The sequence below is a fragment of the Homo sapiens genome, chromosome 2 (assembly GCF_000001405.40).
Source record: "Homo sapiens chromosome 2, GRCh38.p14 Primary Assembly".
In the NCBI taxonomy this organism is placed as follows: Eukaryota; Metazoa; Chordata; class Mammalia; order Primates; family Hominidae; genus Homo; species Homo sapiens.
Genome location: NC_000002.12, coordinates 10,962,821 through 10,982,860, shown reverse-complemented (window position 1 = coordinate 10,982,860; position 20,040 = coordinate 10,962,821). Strand labels below are relative to the sequence as shown.

Below are 20,040 nucleotides of genomic sequence, written 5' to 3'. Positions count from 1 at the left end.
GGAAATGCAAACAAGGCTCTACATTTGTCTTTCATATTATTTTGTCCATAATTGGGTACTGGCTTAAAAAAAAAAAAGTACATTATTCCAATGAGAAAAACAACAAAAATGGCCAGGTGCGGTGGCTCACGCCTGTAATCCCAGCACTTTGGGAGGCCGAGGCGGGTGGATCATGAAGTCAGGAGATTGAGACCAGCCTGGCCAACATGGTGAACCCCCATCGCTACTTAAAAAAATACAAAGTTAGCCAGGTGTGGTGGCGGATGCCTGTACTTCCAGCTATTCGGGAGGCTGAGGCAGGAGAATTGCTTGAACCCAGGAGGCAGAGGTTGCAGTGAGCTGAGATCATGCCATTGCACTCCAGCCTGGGCAACAAGAGTGAAACTCCATCTCCAAAAAAAAAAAAAAAAGAAAAACAACAAAAAGAACAAAATTTTACCACCAGATGGAAAAAGCAGACGAGGGAGTAGAAGCTTCCAGAGCGGGAACTGAGGCCGCCTGCTCAGAAAGGCCAAGGAGGAGGTTGACCAGACGCTTCTGCTGGAAGCCTCCTGGGTCCTGTGGGTTCTCCTGGGCTGTCTGCTTGGCTGGGTCTCCCAAGGCCTGAGGCCCACGTGCAGGTCTGGAGTCCGGTCAACCACAGGAGGCCAGTTGGAAAGCCTAAACCACTGGATACATTCAGGATGAGGGAATGCTGTTTCCGAAGCTGGCACACAGATGCCTCGCTGCGATTGTCCATGGGAAAGCCTGCCTCCTCTCTCCAACTTGGAAACTGCCAGAGGGCCAGGGTCTGTCTAAGGCACCTTGGGGACAGAGCCTGGCACCCAGGAGGTGCTCAGGGAACCGGGGTTGCCCCGGCGACCTACCTCTAACTTGAGGACGAGAGTCTTTTCTCTTTGAACTGAAGTGGACACTGCTGGCTTTAAGTAGATGTCGTAGGAGGAACTCAAGTTTTGATGTCCTGCCTGGATTCAAACCTTGGTCTCTTCACTTGCCAGTTGGATGAACTTCACCATTCATTTATTCTCTTTGGGCCTCAGTTTTTTTTCCACATGTAAAATGGGGCTAAGATGAATGAAAATTGAAATACTGCATGGGAATCCCTAGAGCAGGAGCCCTTTACAGGCACTCGGGAACAAGAAGCAGCATTCTTCGCTCTCGGTTCATGCGGCCTGGTTCCACATCACTGAGACGTGATGCTGGAGCATTCCCTGATACCTAGAATTCTAGGAATGCATGGGGCGGGTGCTGTTGGTGTAACAAATCTGTTCACCCTCATGGGCTTCTTCTTGGTGTTGAATCTGTGCAGAAATTCAAAGCAAATAGGCTTGACAGACTCCAAAAACTTTCATTAGGCACCAGTAATAGAAGCTTCCTTCCACTGCTCTTGACAAGTGTGAATATCTCGCTGATGCCTCCAGCTGTCAGAATGGGTGCTGGGAGCCTCTGGCATGGTGATGGGCCAGCGTGGGAAGCCCTAGGACCTGGTGGTGGGTGTGGCTTCTCAGGTGGGCAGAAGCTGGCAGTGGACCCAGGATCAGGAGCTGGGGGGTATTTATGGCAGTGGGTTGGTCAGAGCGATGACACTCAGGTCGTGAGTGGTTCTCAGTCTCGGCTGCAAGTTGGCATCACCACAAAGGCTTTAAAAACTAGTTGCCTGAGTCCACCCCTCGGAATTGTGATTTAATTGGTCTAAGGTGTGGCCTGGGCAGCAGAGTTTTAAAAGCCCCAGGTGATTCCAGTGTGTAGCCAAGGGTGTGAGCCAGGGGTGCCCAGAGCAGAGCACCGGGAGATAGGGGGAAAGTGGGAAGGTTGGCAGCACCTGCCAGTCACCTAGATGTGAGAACAGCCAGGTGTGCAGAACAAAATAAGACCGGCTTCTGGGCTGGAATACAGAACCCCCATGGGAGAGAACTGGCAGGAGCCCCATTTCCTGAGATTTGGTTCAAAGTCAAAGGAAGACTCATTCCTATTCTCTGTTCCCCAAGCACCCTGTGCCACCCTGTCAAAGCCTGCACCTCCCTGCACTGCAGTTATTTGATTATTTGCCTGTTTCCCTTGGCCTATGAAGACATTCTGGAAAGCAGAGGCTGTATTATTTTAGTCTAAGCGCCCCCGATAACAAGCACCATGCCGGGCCCAGAGCAGGCCCCTGGCTGGTGTGTATTGAATGGAGCAGACCCCATCTTCAGTCACGTGTTTGGTCCGAATCTGATGCTTCTAGATCCATCAGACAGCAGCTGGTTGACCCCAGTGCCTGAGCTGAAACTGAGCCTGTATCAAGAATCAGGTGATTTCATCTGTGAGGAAAAGAAAAAGAGCTTGGGGCCTGGCAGGACCTGATACCTTCTCTGATTATTTGCCTAAACGAAGACTTTCTTTAATGAAGGCATGACTTCTAGTCACCATGAACCATTTTAGGTTTGAGGAGGACATGAAACAGCTATTACATTTTACAGAGCAGTTTCTTAATCTGGTTTATTTTTTATGTTTTGGCTTGTGCTCATAAGCCATTAATTGCTGTGCCGAAAGCCAGGGTGACGTTAGCAACCTACCACTTGGGAGGTGATGAGAAGAAAAGGAGCTGTGAGCTGATTTTCTGAGTATGAGTTGAGTCTGTCAGCTTTGACCTTTCCAATCCAACTCAATGCCTATTCAACAAAAACCCTGACATTTCAAAAGGCAGCACATCCAGCCCACATCTTTATGTTACAGGCCGACCACTTTTCAGAGCCTTCTTTCTTCAGAGCTATAGCCAAAAAAGTAGCTTGGCATTTCTGATACTTCTGTTCCCTAGCTTTCTGAAAAATGAAGGGGAGACAGGCAAGATAAAAGTGTCTGTTCGCTGATGTCCATTCGCCTAAATGGACCTGCGTTTGCTGGTGGGTGTTGATGTGTCGCACACAGCTTTATTTTGCGTTGAAAAGGAGAGGACCGCAGGTGTCGGGAAGCAAGATGAGACAGGTGGAAACCCACTTCGGTACACCTATTTTTAGCTCAGATTCTATTTAAGTGGAAGTGATAACTTCAAGGTAACTGGCAAGACAAAATGAGTCTGTTTGCACAGTAATTGTTTTGCCCAAAAAAGGAACGAACATCCTTAAGGTAATCCAAAGGCTGAGTGAAGGGAAAAATCAAAACAGGTTACTGAGAGAAGAACCTCTGTAGGAGGTTTAAAGAAATTAGCACAGCCAGAAAAAATACAGTGATGAAAGTGAGGCTCCGGTTGATCAGAGGAGCCATCGACCGCTTTGCTGGCTTTCCCTCTCCTATGGCGGCTCCTGGGGTTCTCAGCACCCCAGCAGGGAGAGGTCACTAGTACGGGGGGCTGGACAGTGCTGGAGTGTATCACCACATGCAGACCACCCTGAAAATCCTGAAACCCACTTCTTGACCACAGGCCTCTAACCTTCTGGGTCCCTTTGCCCTCAGTCTGATCATACCTGTGCTTTGACCTCTTAGAGATGTGCCCCTTCCCTTTATACCTGTCACCCCCACCTCCATCTTCACCCTCTTCCCTCACTGGCACCCTCTTCCCTCATGGCGGTTGGCTGAACTAAGGTCTTGCCAAACCCTCAACCCCCTTGTCCCTGGGTCAACTGTACTATCTTCCCTCTACTGGAAAATGCCCTCGTGATGCAGGTGGCAGTGCTGGGCACAGCTCTGCCCAGCTCTCTCCTCTCTACTAGGTGAAGGACCACAGGAGAGCAGAAGTCTCGTCTGTCTGATGACCTCCCTCAGTCTGGCCCAGAGCAGGTGCTCAGTAAGTGTGTGTCAAAGGAATATTCCCCTTGCCATATGAAGTGGGTGTCGGGGCAGAATTTAGGAGTTCTTTGGTCTCGGCACGTTTGCTGTGTGATATGGAATAACTCTCCAGTCCATCTTTTTCTAAGTTTTCTTGAGTACATGAGGGAAGGGGGCAGTGGCCCAAGGTGGGAGTTAATGGTCCTGGACAGGCCACGGACCACCTGGAAGACAACAGTCACTGAGCATGTATTGAATCCTATGTAGGCAAGAGGCTGAGGTGGGCTATGCAGACTATAAGGCCCCAACCCTCCCTCCTGCCCCTCCCATCCCCAAGGCTCCCTTCTTGGCTCTGCCTTGGATTCTCTGGTGACTCTAGCAAGTTACTTTTTTTCCTTGAACTTCCGTGTTTTTCTCAATGAGACAGAGAGTTCCACCGGGTCATCTTGGGGGTCCCTTTTGGCTCTGACACCCCATTACTCAAGTCCCATCATGCTGACGGGTGGTCGGAGCTTTTTCCTGGGAATTAGAATATGCTCAGCCCACAGGGCTTTCCCTGGGCCCCGCTGCCCCACCCCACCCAGGACAGGAACATTTCCAGGGCCAGAGGTGGGCAGCAGCGATGGGAAAATCTAAATCGATTTCAGTACAGTGCGCCCCGGCCTGCGTTGAGCGGACGTGCAGGAGGACTGCATTGGAGAATGGATGGAAATCTGAAACTGGGGCCGAGCAAAGACGTGTCCTATTTTTCCATTTGGGATTTTCTTTCTGGTAGAAACAGCTGTTCTCTTCATCCCTCATTTGTAAAAGGGGCCCGATAACAAGGACGGTGCGAGTGTGTTACAGAGTCGCTGCGAGCACTCAGTGAGAGAATATGGGAGAAGCACGGGGACTCAGCCGGGTGCAGAGTTCTGGCGGAGGGGCCACGATTATTCTTATCATCCTTCCTGTCATTTAACTTTTCCCTTTCCATAAGTTCTGATAAAAGTCTCCTAGGGCTTTCCAGCGCCTGGGTTTTCTCCTGTGCAAAGCCACTTCCATTATTTTTGCTTTCAATTCAATTTCATTAGAAAAAAAAGAACATTTATTTTCTTTTTACTCTAGCTCTTCCTTTGAAAAATGTCAGGCAAGTCAATGTGGTCGGTCTTGGCAGCCATGTTACATTTAAAAAAAATTAAAACGATGAAATATTATTTGAAAATTATAGAAAATTGGTGGGTAATGAGACTGGCTCTGATTCACATTCAAAATAGCTTTCCTATCTGGCAGGAACACGCTCGGGTTGGGGGAGGGCGGGCTGGAGGATTTGAAGGCAGAGCTCTTAGAAACCCGGCTTTCCCCTTCTCATCTGCCTGTGGAGATGATTGATAATCTCTTCCTTTTTAGAGAAAAATATAATTTAAAAATGGTACACCTCTTTTTTAGTTCACAGTTGTAAGAACATTGGAATAGCAGATTCTGTTTCAAAATGACCTGCGTGATAATGTCACAAAAAGATCAAAAATTAAAACCCCAAATTCTCAAAAGATAGATATTAATAACTCATGACAAAAGCATGGACTGTCTTCAGCAAACAAGCGATTTGTGTGGGAATCGCTGTGCTTTGTGAAAATAATTACAAAGTTACTTAAACTAAGCTTTTCAGCCAATCGCAGGAAAAGAAATGCTTTGGCCCATATTTAATATTTTCAAGAATTTCTCTCCACCTTAAGTTAGGATCAGATTTGCCTCCATGGATAAATTAGGTGCACAAAAGAGCAGCCGGCTGGCCAGAGGAGCAGGGTCGTCTTTGTGGTTCTCTGTCCCATCCCACGCCAGCCTCCGGGGATACTGGGTGACAGGCGGCAGGGAAGGCTGGGCTGTGGACTGTTTCATCATCAGTTTGAGGTTTTGAGGCCAACCCTTCAAAGCTTGATTATTTTCTCTGAGGCATCAGGTCAACGATTCCTGTAGCTGTCGCCGGGGATGACGGGAGGAAGTGGGGCTTCCTAACAAAGGTCACTTAGCCCAGAGCTGCTCTTGCTTTGAGAGTTATGCATTTTCTGCCAAAATACACTGATAAAATGACAAGTCATAATAGGAATAAGGTTTTAGAACTTCTGCTATATCTTTAAATAACATTCTGTTGTCCCTTCCCTCTTTTTGTTTGCTTTGTACAACAAAAGTAATAAAAACAGTTACAGATTGTATAGAAAATGCAGATTACAAAGGGAAGAAAATTGAAACCACTCTATATCTTTCCATCTGGTGAAAAGCAATATTAATATTTTGGTAGATACTTTGTGTGTGTGTGTTTGTGTGTGTGTGTGTGTGTGTGTGTATTTGGTCACCTATTCATTCAATAAATATTTATTAGCCCTCACTTATCATACTTAATATATTAACAAAACAAAAACACAGTTTTGTTATCCTCTCATGACATTAAAACAACGTCTTTCAAAATCACTTTTAATGGCCTCGTAACTTTCCATTGCATGGGTATACAAATATACTGAAGTAGTCTATTCCTTGAACTAATAAACGAATATATACAATTCATCATTTCAGTGTGGCTTAACATCAAAAGGCCCTTTCCCACTTTAATCAATATATTATTATTATTCACATGAATAGTATTATAGTTTTAACAACAGTAAGATCAACCATGAACATTTATTCTGTATTTAACTGTGTGTCAGACATTGAGCTTAAAGTTTCATATGAAATATTTTATTTAAATCCAACAACAATCCTATGAAGTATCTACTATACGCATATTACCTGTCAGGTTATAACATTCACCCTAAATTCTCAGTCCCTTTATGCAAAGGAAAAATTGGATTTCTTTCTCTCTGTGTCTTTTAGCATTACCTCAGATTTTGCAAATTTTGGTTTGACTAAAACCAGAGAGTGATTATAAAAGACCTATTATTTTAAAAAGCATAAATATACACGGAAATAAAATTTCAAGCAGTACACGATAGTATGCATTTCAGAAGTGGAAATCATTTGACTGTTTTTGTTTTGTTTTATCTTAATATGTTTAGATGTCTCCTTTTGCTTTATTATTTTGAAGCAATATTTATTAATGCCCACACATGAAGACTAAAATATTTAGATTATTTTCACCTCCACCTCTTTCCCTAACTTCTCTTTGCAATTTTTTTTTGTCTTGAGACAGAGTCTCACTGTGTCACCAGGCTGGAGAGCAGTGGTGTGATCTCTGCTCACTGCAACCTCCACCTTTCAAGCTCAAGGATTCTCATGCCTCAGCTTCCTGTAGCTGGGATTACAGGCATGTACTACCACACTCAGCTACTTTTTTGTATTTTTAGTAGAGACAGGGGTTTCGCTATGTTGGCCAGGCTGGTCTAGAACTCCTGTCCTCAAGTGATCTGCCCTCTTCAGCCTCCCAAAGTGCTGGGATTGGATTACAGATGTGAGCCACTGCGCCTGGCCTCTCTCTGAAATTTTTAAAGTAGCAATTACAGTTCTTCTATGGTTTCCTAAGGATCTGAAAGTAGACATCCCATACCTGGTCCTAATCATATGTGAGTAGAACACAAAGGCTGGGTGCCTTTTTCATCTTTTCAGAGTGCATACTTTGGTAATCATTTCAGAAAAGTGAGTGGAAATTGTAAAGTCTTTGTATATCTAAAAATGCTTTCACCCTTCTCCTCCACCTAATTGGTTGATTGGCTGTGTTTGGAATTCCAGTATTAAACTAGTTTTCTGCCTGAACTTTTAAGGCGTTGTTTCATTACCTTGTAGTGCTCATTGTTGCTGAGATGTCTGAAGTCAAAAAGCTAGGAATAAAAATAATAATAATACCAACAAGCAAGATTATTAAAAAAATTATTCTCTCTTTAGCTCTTAGGATTCTCTTTTTATATTTTTCACATTTTAGCTGGGTTCAGTGGCTGTAATCCCAGCACTTTGGGAGGCCAAGGCAGGAGGATTGTTTGAGCCCAGGAACTTGAGACCAGCCTGAGCAACAGAGTGAGACCCCGTCTCTATTTTAAAAAGTAAAATAAATAAATAAATAAAAATTTGAAAATATATTTGATGCTCTTAGATATCATAAGGGTATAACCAGTTTGATTCATGTGTTCATTTTTATTCATTATGCTTTCAGCATTAAGAAATCTTTCTCTATTGTTCTGTCTGTCCAAAACTCTTCTATGTTGCTTAGCTCTTCTCATAGTGACATAATTTGGACCTGTGTCCTGCCCAAATCTCATATCGAACTGTAATCCCCAGAGTTGGAGGTGGGGCCTAGTGGGAGGTGATTGGATCATGGGGGTGGATCCTTCATGAATGGTTTAGCACCATCCTCTCGGTGCTGTTCTCGTGATAGTGAGTGAGTTCTGGTGAGATGTGGTTGTTTAAAAGTGTGTGGCACCTCCCCCCTTGCTCTCTTGCTGCTCTGGTCATGTAAGATGCCTGCTCCCACTTTGCCTTCCGCCCTGATTGGAAGCTCCTTGAGGCCTCCCCAGAAGCAGAAGCTGCCATGCTTCCTGTTCAGCCTGCAGAACTGTGAGCCAATTAAACCTCTTTTCTTTATAAATTACCCAGTCTCAGGTATTTCTTTATAGCAATGCAAGAACAGATGAATACACAGATATATATATTTTTTCATCTCCTTATCTTTGCTCTCGCTCTGGGAGATTTTTCATGGTTTTTCTTATTGCCTTTCTGTTGTTGTTGTTTTATTTTGGTAATAGCTTTTTTAAAAAAAATTCAACCAACTCTTTCTTGTTCTCTGATTTCTCCCTTTTGGTAGCAGTTTGTCTTACTTTTACTGAGAAAATATTTGCTCTCTTTTTTTTTTTGAGGATACTAATTGTAATTACTTTGAATGTTTTCTTTCATTCCCTAAGTTATTTCTTTTTTCTCTGGGATCTTTTGTTGTTCGTGTTCGTATTGTTCCTTCTCCTTTGTACTGTTTTCTGCAGGTGACCTGTGAGTTTTGTTTTCATTCATAGTTTGATGAAGGTCTAAGCTGATTAATAACAAAGAGTGGCTGGGGTAGAATCCTCTGCCATTATCAGCTTCTCCCTGGATGAAAATGATCACTCTTGTAGATATGGGACGGTTGTTCCAAGCACCGGGTTTGTCTCCATCCCTAAGAAATGCACCACCGAGGAGGTCACTGCTGGGGGCACCAGCCTCTTTTGTGAAAGCATTTGCCTGGCCCCAGCCTGGGGGCGTGGGAGATGGGGGTGGTGTGTGCGCACACGTGCTTGTCCTGTGGATAGAGGGGCCTGGGGTCTCCTCACTCTGCCATCTCTGCCCTGCTTTCTCCTTTGCCCTTGCCAAGTCTGGGTGCTTCTGCCATGAAAACTGGCTCTTACTCCTAGACTCCACTCCCATGCCAGCTCTGAGCTGGACTCCTTCCACTCTGATATGTCTGTCAGTTTCGGCACATGTCCTTCTGGTTTCCAGCAATGAGCCACGACTGGGGGCTGCTGCTGTGCCCCTGTGAATTCTCAGCACTGTGTTAACTTACTCCCTGTTAAGCCTCTTTACTATCCTTTTAAGGAGTTTCTGGGAGGCAAAGCCTGTTGTCATTTCAAAGGATTTTTGAAAATCACAGTCAAACATCTTGACCCAGAAGCCCCAGAAAGTCCATGCGTGCGTGCCTCCCGATGTGGTGATGTTTGACTAAAAAGGAGAACTTTTTCCTTTCCAACAACTTCTCTCCCAGCTCCTGAAGCTAGCGGGCTTAGACAGTCATTCATGGTTCCAGCCACTCCGTATCTCTTTTTCCCCAGGTGGACACCCCACATCCAATCCATCTCAAGTCCTGTCATCTGTCCCTTCATATGTCTGTGCAGACTCTGGCCATCCCGGGCTGAGCCACTGCATGCCGTCCAGGCAGGCCCGTGCTTCCACCCAGCCCCCTAAGGTGGGTTCTCAACACTGCAGCTAGAGAGGCCTTTTCAGAACACATTAGATCGTGTCCTTCTCCTGCCCCAAACTTACAGTGGCTCCCATGTCACTCAAAGTAACAGCCAAAGTCCTCCCTGTGGCCTCCCTGCCCTGTGTGACCTGTACTGGCCACCTCACTGTTCCTCAAAATTGCCATGCCTTCCTGCCTCAGAGCCTTCACACTTGCTGTTCCCTTTGCCTGGAATGTCCCAACCCCTCCCCCACCTCTCCCTCTGCACTCCCCTCTCCCATCCCTCCCCCTCCACCCCGCTTCCCCTGCACCAGCAAAGACCTCCCCAGTCGGGCTCCCTCACTCCCATTAGCTCTTTACTCCAGTGTCACCTCTGCAGTGAGGCCTTCCGCAGCTGCTCGACTCTAACTGCCCCTACCAACTGTGTCACATCCTCCCTCCTCCGGGTACATGACTTGCCCGATGGCAGTCCAACGGCCTAGGCAACACGCTGCGACTGAACTCACCTTGTCTCGTGTTGCCTCCCACTGGAGTGAAACTCCTTGAGCTCGGGACTTTTGTCTATTTTATTCACTGTTCCTAATCCCAGCGCCTAGAGCAGGGCCCAGTATACAATAGGTGCTCATTTGGGTATGATGAGTTATTGAAACATGAATACAAGATGTGCTGTTCCTAATCTCTGTAGCGCTCCCTTCCAAATGGACTTTTTAAGAAGGGCTTTTCAAGCTCCCTTCTGTCGAGCGCGGTGTTTCTCAGTCTTTCCTTCATCAGTGTCCCCCTGGACAGCCTTTCTAGACTTTCATTTCCTGCCTGTGCCCCCCATGAAACTTGAACCCCACAGATAGACTGTGTGTCTGCCGATGTACTGTATGTGTATCTGGGCTTTATACATAAAAAGTGTCAAGTATTTTCAATCTAAGAAGCAATTTTTGCCCTCTGGGGAGCACGATCACTCATGTTGAGAATGCATGATTTAGCACAACAGAATATTTCAAAACGCTTTAAACAAACTATAACTAGGTTTCTTAAAAAAGATATGCAACGGTTTTATGGTAGAAAGGGGAACTCAGTGACTGAAGAAAGTCTGAACTCTGTGCCTTTAACCCTATAGCCAAATGTGCCATCAGCCCCCTCCTGGGAGCAGAAGCTAGAGCAGGGAGCAATCAGACGAGCTCCTCCCGGGTTTCCTGGTAGCCTCGTGCCATCACTGCACTCCCTGGGAGCGTGAAGAGACCAGCGCAGCAATTGTCCAGCCTGTTCTTCATGGACCACTAAACGCATTGTGAGCCAGGAAGCCAGAGCCTGGCCCCAGGCAGGGCCCAGCTCACACACAGGCTGCAGTCAGCAGCCTCCAAGCACAGACGTGATTTTGCACAGAGGGGAGGATGAGCGAGGAAGAACCCTGCTGCTTTCACCCAAGCGCCCTGTCCCCTCTTCCCTGAGCTCCCCCATGCCCCAGCCAGAGGCAACCCCTGCCATCCCTGAGCGACATGTGGCCCATCGACCCATCATCCAGAACATCATTGTTGCGTGGCCTATTGGACACCTCCGTGCCCTTGTTTCTCCTCACTGGGGGCCACCTATGTCCCCTGGACCTGTGCTGTCCCCTCAGCCGGGCTCGCTGGGCAGTCAGCTCATGTCTGAAGAGCGTTGTCACACGTGATGGGAATGTGTGGCTTGTGCCAAGGTGTGTGGCAGCTAATGACTTGTCTGCTTCCCAGGAGAAGGTGCTAATTAGATACTTGGTTTGCAGGGAAAGGATGCCCAGCCCTGGAGGAATCAGGTTCCATCATCCAAGTGTTATGAAGGAACAACTGGGTGCCTAATTGTCCAGGGAGTAACAGTTGTATCAAATTATAAGCTTGAAGGGACTGACAGTGGCTCATGACTGAGGTCTCCCTGCAGCGGTGAGGGGCTCTCGCTGGGCCTTTCAAATGCCTGTCTGAGTCTCCAGCGACACTGCTCTCCTTGGCACGGAAGGCTGTCCCTGCAGCCCCCAGCACCCAACCCCACCCTGCATCCCAGAAAGTTTACCCCAGGGCTTGAAGGGGAGGGTGCCAAGGGAGGTCCTGTTCCTCCTGCCTGTCAGAGAACTGGAAGCTTTTTCAATCTTACCTTGCCCTTTGGAGCTAACATATCAGAGCCAGACCTCCCTCTCTGTCCCCCCTGCAGAAAACGGTCATAGCCTTTAGCAACAATGGGGATTTGTTTGGGGGTCAGGGCTGGCTTGTCTGGGACTGATGATTACAATAGCTCTAAAGGCACCTGAAGACCTGTAGAACTGGGTGAGGGCTCGTGGGCTGGACTTGTGTGTGGTATAGGAAAATAACAGGCAGAGCTTCCCTCCCCTCCTGCAGGGTCTCATTCAGTGCCCAGCATCTGGGAGGAATGAGGGTGGGGCCAGCCTCGGAGGCCCTCTATGGCTCTCCCTGGACTAGGGGTCCTGCAGGGGCACAAAAGGAGATCCACACACTGTATGTCTACACACCTAAAGGTTATGTGCCAAGCCAACCAATTAGATCCAATCCATGCCATTCTACCACCTTGACCAAGGTACCTTTATAACTGCAAAACGACAAAAATATGTGTGACACTATTGCTTTTATGCTTATATGTTTGGTAAAATGTGAAAGATGTCAGAATTTAATGTTGTGTATGCTTGGCTGTTGATGAGATGGCTGTATTTGGGTGTGTCTGGCTGATACTGCATGGCTCTCTGCCCAGGAGCTCGGATCCTTGGGCTCTGCAGGGCTGGTGCCCTCACCCAGGAGGGCCTGCCCTGACCACCCCACCCTAACCCATCCATCACCTTTGGTCCAATTATCTCACTTATTTTCTTCTTAGAACTTGACACTATTAGAAATAATATTATTTATGTGTTTGTTTGCTGTCTGTCTTCTCAAATGAAGAATCAATGAGGCAGGGATTTTGTCCGTGATGTTTGTAGCTAAACACCCAGCAACAGATACAGAGCCTGGCTTGTACTTGCCAACATCTGTTGAGCAAATGAATGATATACAATCAGTGGGTATGAAGATCTTAGAAACTGCTAGGTAAACAGATAACAAATCCAGAAGAAACATTAGACACTCAGGGGTGAATGTAAACTGCTTAAAAGCAGGTTTTGTTTTTGCATTCAAAATAAGAAATGTGGGAAATAGAAAGAAAAATGCAGCGGGACATTGAGATGCAGACTTCAGGGTAAACTCTCACAAGCAGACAACATGGGGACAAGATGGGGGTGGCATCCTGATGACAGCAATTTCACCTTCTCTGGGAAAGACCCCAGGATTCTCAGATGGGCTCCCTGTAGCTGGGCTCCTGTCTTCTGGAAAGACTGCTGGGTCTAGGGATGTACACCTCTTCCAAGTTGGGTGACTCACAGAGCTCAGCCCCTCTGGCCATAGTTAATTGGTCCCAGGCTATGTGACCTGCTGATATGGTTTGGCTCTGTGTCCCCACCCACATCTGCCCTTGGATTGTAATAATCGCCACGTGTCAAGGGCAGGACCAGGTGAAGATAATTGAATCATGGGGGCGGTTCCCCCGCGCTGTTCTTGTGATATTGAGTGAGTTCTCACAAGACCTGATGGTTTTAGAAGGGGCTTCCCCCTTTACTCGGCACTCATTCTCTCTCCTGCCACCCTGTGAAGAGGTGCCTTCCACCATGATTGTAAGTTTCCTGGGGCCTCCCCAGCTATGCAGAACTGGGTCAATTAAACCTCTTTTCTTTATAAATTACCTGGTCTCGGGCATTTCTTCATAGCAGTGTGAGAATGGACTAGTAACACCTGCCAAGACAAGTTGCGGAACTTTGAAGTGGGCAAAAAATACATACACACATACATACATAGATACATATTTAAAGTGGCTGCTAGACGTCTAGAGGACTCTCCTGGGATCATCCGATTCTGTAGGAGTCCGTGTCTTTTATTGTCTTTGATTATTATTCAACTTTTTAAAGATACAAGTTGGCCGTGGAGAGCTGATGTTGATGCATCTTATTTCAATTCATAGAAATTTGAACACTGGTGTCCATTCAAATTGCAAGTGTTTACCACTCCCTGTGAAAGAAGTCTGCCTCTATTAGCGAATTCATTTCAGCATTCCTGATTGCACACACACACACACACACACAAAGACACACACACACACACACACACACACACACGTCCTTTGATTCTCCTTTGAACTTGGTTTTTTGATCTTACTTGTTCTCTCATTACTTAATTAGTTAAATAAAATCTTAGACCTGGTTAGTTTTCTATTTCTGTGAGAGTCATGTTTTACTCTCAAAAAAAAAAAAAAAAGATTAACCCTTTAACAGACCAAGCAGAACCAACTGGAATCTTGGGACGTCAGTGGCCATGGTGCTCTGCAGGCAGAGGTGAGTCGGGGAGCCGAAGATGAGGGAGAGAAGAGCCTGGGGGTGAGCCCCGCTCCTGGTGTCTGCAGTCTGGGTGCAGAGGCCCTGTGGTGCCTGCCTGAGTGAGACAAGCTTGCTTTCCTGTAAGCTACTCGAAGTCGGGTTTCCATCAACTGTGGCCCAGAGCAGGCTAGCCACACAGGCTCACGTTGCAGAAAGATTGATTTCAGAAGCAGATGAGGTTTAATCAGTCCATCTGGGTTTGTTTGAAGGTCATGGGCCGCACCCATGGGTGGACGCAAACCCAGGTCCTGCAGATGCAAGGAGAGAGGGAGGAGAAGGGAGGCTCCCACTGACTCGGAAGGAGCAGAGATCACTCAGAATCGGAGAATTCATGGCCTGACCACCGGCGAGGTTTGAGGAGGAAGCTCAGAGCCAAGGAAGGGCAGGTGTTGGAAGTGCACGGGCAGCACCCCAGTGCAGAAGTGTGCTGAGGGCCATCTTCAGCTGCGTCCTCCAGACGCCCTGGCAGGACAGATTCATCCTCCAGGGACAGGCCACAGCCAGCATGACTCCCCTGGCTCTGTCTGGCATTGCCGGCCACACCTCTCCTCCCCTCTTCCAGGCGTGGACAAGGAGCAAGTGTCCACGGGGGCCTCATTGACAACTCATCATCTGTATCCAAAAGTTTAAATATGAAATTAAAGATGGATGAAAGCCATAATGAGAAAACCAAAAGGAACATTGCCAGGGCCTCGGCAAACCCTAGTTATTCTTAGAGCAGTTGTGAATCCTTAGGAGGGTGCGTTTTATTTCCTTGTAAAAATACCAAATGGTTGAGGGGGTGAGCAAGTAGTGGCCAATCTTGCCCAAGTTACTTTTCTAAAAAGTTTATATGATGCTCGGATGTGCTGCTACCCAACGCTCCCTTCTTGGAGTCCAAGAAGCTTGGGTGTGAAACGTGGCTCTGCCATTCCTTTAGCTGAGTGACCTTGGCTGAGTTCTTTACTTTCCCTGAGCTTCAGTGACTTCCTCCACAAAATGGGATGCCACCCAGTTATGAGGATGACACGTGACAATGCAGGCCAGGTGCCCGTCACACAGCAGATGAAGGAAAATGGAACCTCTGCAAGGGAACTTGCCATCCCCACGTTCAGCCCCCACAATCGTCCCCTCAAATTCCAACTTCCAGTCCTGAGCAAGGAGGAGGAGGGGCCAGGCAAGGCTTCAGCCACATCCTTTTTAATATTTTAACTCCATTTCAATTGACTGTCATCTAGAACAGGACCAGCTGGGAATCTATTCAAAGGGCTGGTCCCATGCAGCTGTGACATAGGAAACAGCCCATGTGGGGTGATCTCAGATCCTGCCCCCACCTCCAAAAACCTCCTGCTCCCAGAAATGCCACCTTCATCCCTTTGATGTAAGACTCCTCCTTGTCCACTCCCCACTCTGGAAGAGGTACCCCCGAGGCTACAGCAGACCCAGAATTCATTTCAGAAAGGCAGGTGCTTTGGGGCCTGGCCCTGCAGTGTGAACACTGGCTCACCCCATCCAGCTCTGTGCACCAAAGCAACAGATAGTCACACAAACAGTTGCTGAATGAATAAATGTGGAATTGCTAAAATGAGCCAGTGAAAATACTGGATGGTCATTGTGGGAACCGTTCACATGCCCATGTAGAGGTGGGGAGGGTCGGGGCTTCCCACTCCTTGAGGTCCGTATCCTGTGTCCTCCATCGTGAAGCAAGCGTTCCATCCCTCAGAAATTGTTTCTTTATAGAATTGACTATAACACCATCTACCTTGCGTTCTCGTGCGGACTCAGCGAGACACTGCAGAGTGAGTTTAACAGGTGGAAGTCACTGTCCTGCTTGTGAGTACGTGATGTTGTGCATGCATGCGGGGTCCAGGCCCGTGTCCAAGAGATCCCACGCAGGAGCAGCTGCCGCTCCTGTTCCTGTGAGCATCAGCGATGGGCAGACTTGGGCAAGTCACCTCCCCACAGGCTTCCACACGGAGAGACCTCACTGACTGTGCCCAATACAGCTCTGCTGAGGAGGGTCTCTCATCCATAAACTGAGAACAATCAGATCAAATGGAGCCCCACATGATAATCAATGTCATTGGGACTGAGCAGGAATTTGAAGAGGTCCTGGCTGAGCCCTGGAGGACAGCTCCCCCCGACCCCAGGGCTGATGAGAGAATGAGAATGAAGGTGAGCTTGCCTCTTCAAAGCTCTCCTCCTGTCTCCAGGACGCAGATGTCCTGAGAGGACACCACCTCCTCACCTCTCTTCCTTTCCACACTGCCATGGGAAATTGTTGATCATCAAAGGACACAAGGAGATTGCAGCCCAAGAGTGGAGGCTGGAGCCTGTCTGGAAATGAGAAGCCTTTCCAGGAGGAAAGAGGGTTGTTGGAAGGCAGGAGACCAGACCTGTGGCCAGAATCTGGCTTTCTGCCATGTCTCACCCAAACTAAATTAACCACTCCCTGTCCCCAGCTGCCGCCTCCACCTGCAGGGCCACCAGGGGTTGCTCAGGCCTCCTCTCAGCTGACCAGCCCCAGGCTGAGCAGAGACACATGGGGGCAGGGCCGTCCTTCTGCAGCCACAGGACTTTCCTCCTGGCTGCACGAGAGGATCAGAATGAAGCCGAGACAATCGTAAGAGTGGTCATTCAAGGCAAGGAAGAGGTGGGGCGCAGCCCCTGCTAGCTGGGGGCACTTGGGAGCATGGACTGTGGTCACCGTGGTAGCTCTGGGCAGCCTAGTTATGGATGCTGTGTCATTTTTCAGCATTTTTTGATTTCCATGTCCAGCCACACAACAACTCAGACAAGACACCTTCTCAACTGGGGTGCCTTGTCCCTGTGATGGGTGATGATTTCCTTACCTCTCACTTCAGCGCTCTGGGACCTTCTCCATTTGACTGGGGCCTGGTGCACGTTTCTGGTCTTAGCTCCCAGCTCACCTCGCTCATTGCATCCTGGATTCTCCTGCGTGTTCTGCAGCCCCCTGGCCTTTGCTCAGATCATCCATAGAGTCCAGAATGCCCTTCTGCTCAGCCCCGTTCTGGAGCAGACAGCCAGAGTGGACACCTTGGTCCGCCACTTCCAAGTCATGGGAACTTGGTCAAATGGTGTCCCATCGCTGTGCTTGTTTCCTTGTCTGTAAACACAGCGAATATTAGTACCTACGTCATGAGGTTGTGGCGAGGCTCAAATGATCTTAAAAGTGTCACGTGCTTAGAACAGCCTTGGTATAAACATGAGTTATTATTGTTACTCGCCTTCTTCACCTCCTCCAAAATACCTTGGCAGATGCCCTTACCCAGCTCCTGGGCACGGTCAGCCTCTCCCGCTTGTAGATCCCACAGTCTATGAGCTTCTATTTCAGCCTCGTCACCATCTGGCTGGCCGCGTGATTTTTGTAGCAGTCTGACTCCCCCAGATAGAACTTCTAGGGGGAACAAAAACTCATTCACCCCAATGCCTGGTGCAGGGAGGGCAGCAGGTCGGCCAGAGTGGGAAACAGGCAAGGCTGAAGTGAACAGGGACAGGCGTGTGTCCTGCAGACACCGGGGCCCACAGTGCCGTGGCGTGTGCAGAAGACGGCTTGTCTCTGTATGAAGACAGTGTTGGGAGTCCACAGGGCTACATGGAACCCGTATATGGGTCCACCTAGCACAGCTCCTGGCCCCTAGTAAGGCAGAAGTGGTATTCCTTTCTTCTCTTCCTCTCTCCACATAAGCCAGCAATAAGACTTGTAGCTTTTTTCTTTTACCTACCCCCCTCCCCTTTTCTAAGGTCATCTAAATTCAGTGTCAAGATCAAGGTATCTGGAGACTCTGTGCTGGGCTCCCTGGGGGTGCCAACTTGTGTTCTGGCCCAAGTGTGACATTACAGAAACAGTGAGGAGGGCCTGGAGTTTATTGGAGGACAGTGGCAGGAACCATTCACCAAAAGAAAGGGGCAGCTGAAGGAGCCTTTGGGGCCCAGACTGCAGGAGAGCCAGAACAAGAGGCCCGTCCCTGATACTTCAAAGGTTCCCTTTCCTCTGACATGCAGAGGGGCCTTCAGACTCAGTGGGGAGGAACCTAGGGAGGCGGGTTCGGCTCTGTCTAAATTTGACATCCCCCCAGAAGCAAACCCTGAGACAAGGATGGGGGCAGGTAAATCATTTGGGAAGTGATCCCAGGAAACAGAAGGGGTGAGAGGAAGTGAGAAGGGAGGGGAGGACAGCCGGTCATGGGGTGTCACCGAGCAAGTCACCACTGTGAGCAACTGAAGCTTCATCCCTCTAGGACTCTGGGAACTCCTCCAGAACGCACAGCAGAGGTCCCCACCCAGCGGGGAGGGAGCTGGGTCGCAAAACCCATTTCCCCTGGCACTTTGGTGTTTAGTCCTGACCTGAACTGCAACAGAAGTTTGTTGATTATATTTCTTCTTTTCCAGCATCTGCCACAGCTGGAAGAGACTTTTTTTATATGAGCAAAAATGCAGAAAGAATGAGTTAATGACGAATTGTGTGTGTTTCATCTGAATGGACCGAGTTGCTACAACCCAGCAGAGCGGGGAGTGGATGGTCTCTCAGCCTCTGCGAGGTCTCAGGGAGTCCTGCTAAAAAAACTCCCTGTTGCGCTTGGTCAGAATAAATCACATGTTCTTCGTGTTTGCCAGGAACTTAGTGTAAACTGGACTATAATCCGTCTGTTTTATTCCTTGTTGGAAGTGCTGGAAATCTTCAAAGTACAAAATGCACTGTGTTAGGTTTAAGAAGAAAGGGAATCACCTCTTAGTGTCTGGTGTCCTGTTCATTTCCATGACTTTCCCTCCTCTGGGAAGTGCCCTGTGAATGGCCCCTTGCTGGTGAGTTTCTCAATGAGTCCCTGGCTGCGTGGGGCAAATGTCTCCCTTTCATTCCAATGAGGAAGAAGTCTCAGAATTATGCTAATTGGCTAAGGTTTAATGGATATATTTAAAATAGTCCCAAATATCCAGTGTGCCAGGGCAGCGTTGCCCCAAGGGAAGTATCTGGGTGGGAAATAATGATTGCCTAAATTAAAAACCCAGAAGAGGAACTAGCACCTATTTAGGGGGTTAGAAGAAGGAAGGCAGAAATGGTAAAACGTCTGTATCTGTGTTCTTTTTAGGGTGAGAGAGTGGACCATTGTGAGGGTCTGGATGGGGGAATAAGGGAGATGGAACCTCATGGGGGAATCCAAAACCCAGAGATGCAAGTCAGCAACGAAAAGACAAATAACCCAATTCAAAAACAGGCAAAGAACTTTAATGCATGTTTTCCCAAAGAAGACACAAATGGCCAATAAGCACGTGAATAGATGCTCAACATCATTAGTCATTAGGAAATGTAAACCAAAACCACGACAAGATACCACTGCACACCCACTAGGAGAGCTAAAATCAAAACGACAGAAGATGGGTGTTGGCAAGGATGTGGGGAATTGGAACTCTCATACAGTGCTGGTGGGAATGTAACGCGTGCGGCTGCTGGGGAAAACAGCCTGGCAGCTCCTCACAAAGTTGAACACAGCTCTCTTTTTTCTCTCTTCTTTTCTCTCTTGGGCCTTGGCGCCTACTTGGATCCCTGCCAAGCGCATCTTCCTCTTTCCTGTTCTAAAGCTTTATAAATAAACTTCCATTCCTGTTCTGGAAAGAAAAAGTTGAACACAGAGCTACCATATGACCCAGCAATTCCACTCCTCGGTGAATTTCCAAGAGATGAAAAGATATGTCCAAGCACACACTTGTATCTGTGCGTTCACAGCAGCATTATTCACAATAGCCAAAAAAATAGAAACAAGGCAAATGTTCATGGACTGATGGAAGGTTAAACAATATGTGGTTTATCCATGCCATGGAATCTTATTCAGCTATGAAAAGGAATGGATATTGATACATGCTGCAACTCGCATGGACCCCGAACACACCATGCTAAGTGAAAGAAGCCAGGCACAAAAGCTCGCATGTTGTGTAATTCCACTTATATAAAATGTCCAGAATAGGTCGATCCATAGAACAGGAAGGA

At 47.8% G+C, this 20,040-nt stretch overlaps 3 annotated features.

Annotated features, from left to right (window-relative positions):
- Positions 13,851–14,350: an enhancer, noted in NCBI's record as "H3K4me1 hESC enhancer chr2:11108637-11109136 (GRCh37/hg19 assembly coordinates)". NCBI's record gives its function as "activates a minimal SCP1, AML or CMV promoter by ChIP-STARR-seq in primed H9 embryonic stem cells {active_cell/tissue: H9 hESC(primed)}" and the evidence as "EXISTENCE:reporter gene assay evidence [ECO:0000049][PMID:30033119]".
- Positions 14,351–14,852: an enhancer, noted in NCBI's record as "H3K4me1 hESC enhancer chr2:11108135-11108636 (GRCh37/hg19 assembly coordinates)". NCBI's record gives its function as "activates a minimal SCP1, AML or CMV promoter by ChIP-STARR-seq in primed H9 embryonic stem cells {active_cell/tissue: H9 hESC(primed)}" and the evidence as "EXISTENCE:reporter gene assay evidence [ECO:0000049][PMID:30033119]".
- Positions 16,087–17,063: an enhancer, noted in NCBI's record as "H3K4me1 hESC enhancer chr2:11105924-11106900 (GRCh37/hg19 assembly coordinates)". NCBI's record gives its function as "activates a minimal SCP1, AML or CMV promoter by ChIP-STARR-seq in naive H9 embryonic stem cells {active_cell/tissue: H9 hESC(naive)}" and the evidence as "EXISTENCE:reporter gene assay evidence [ECO:0000049][PMID:30033119]".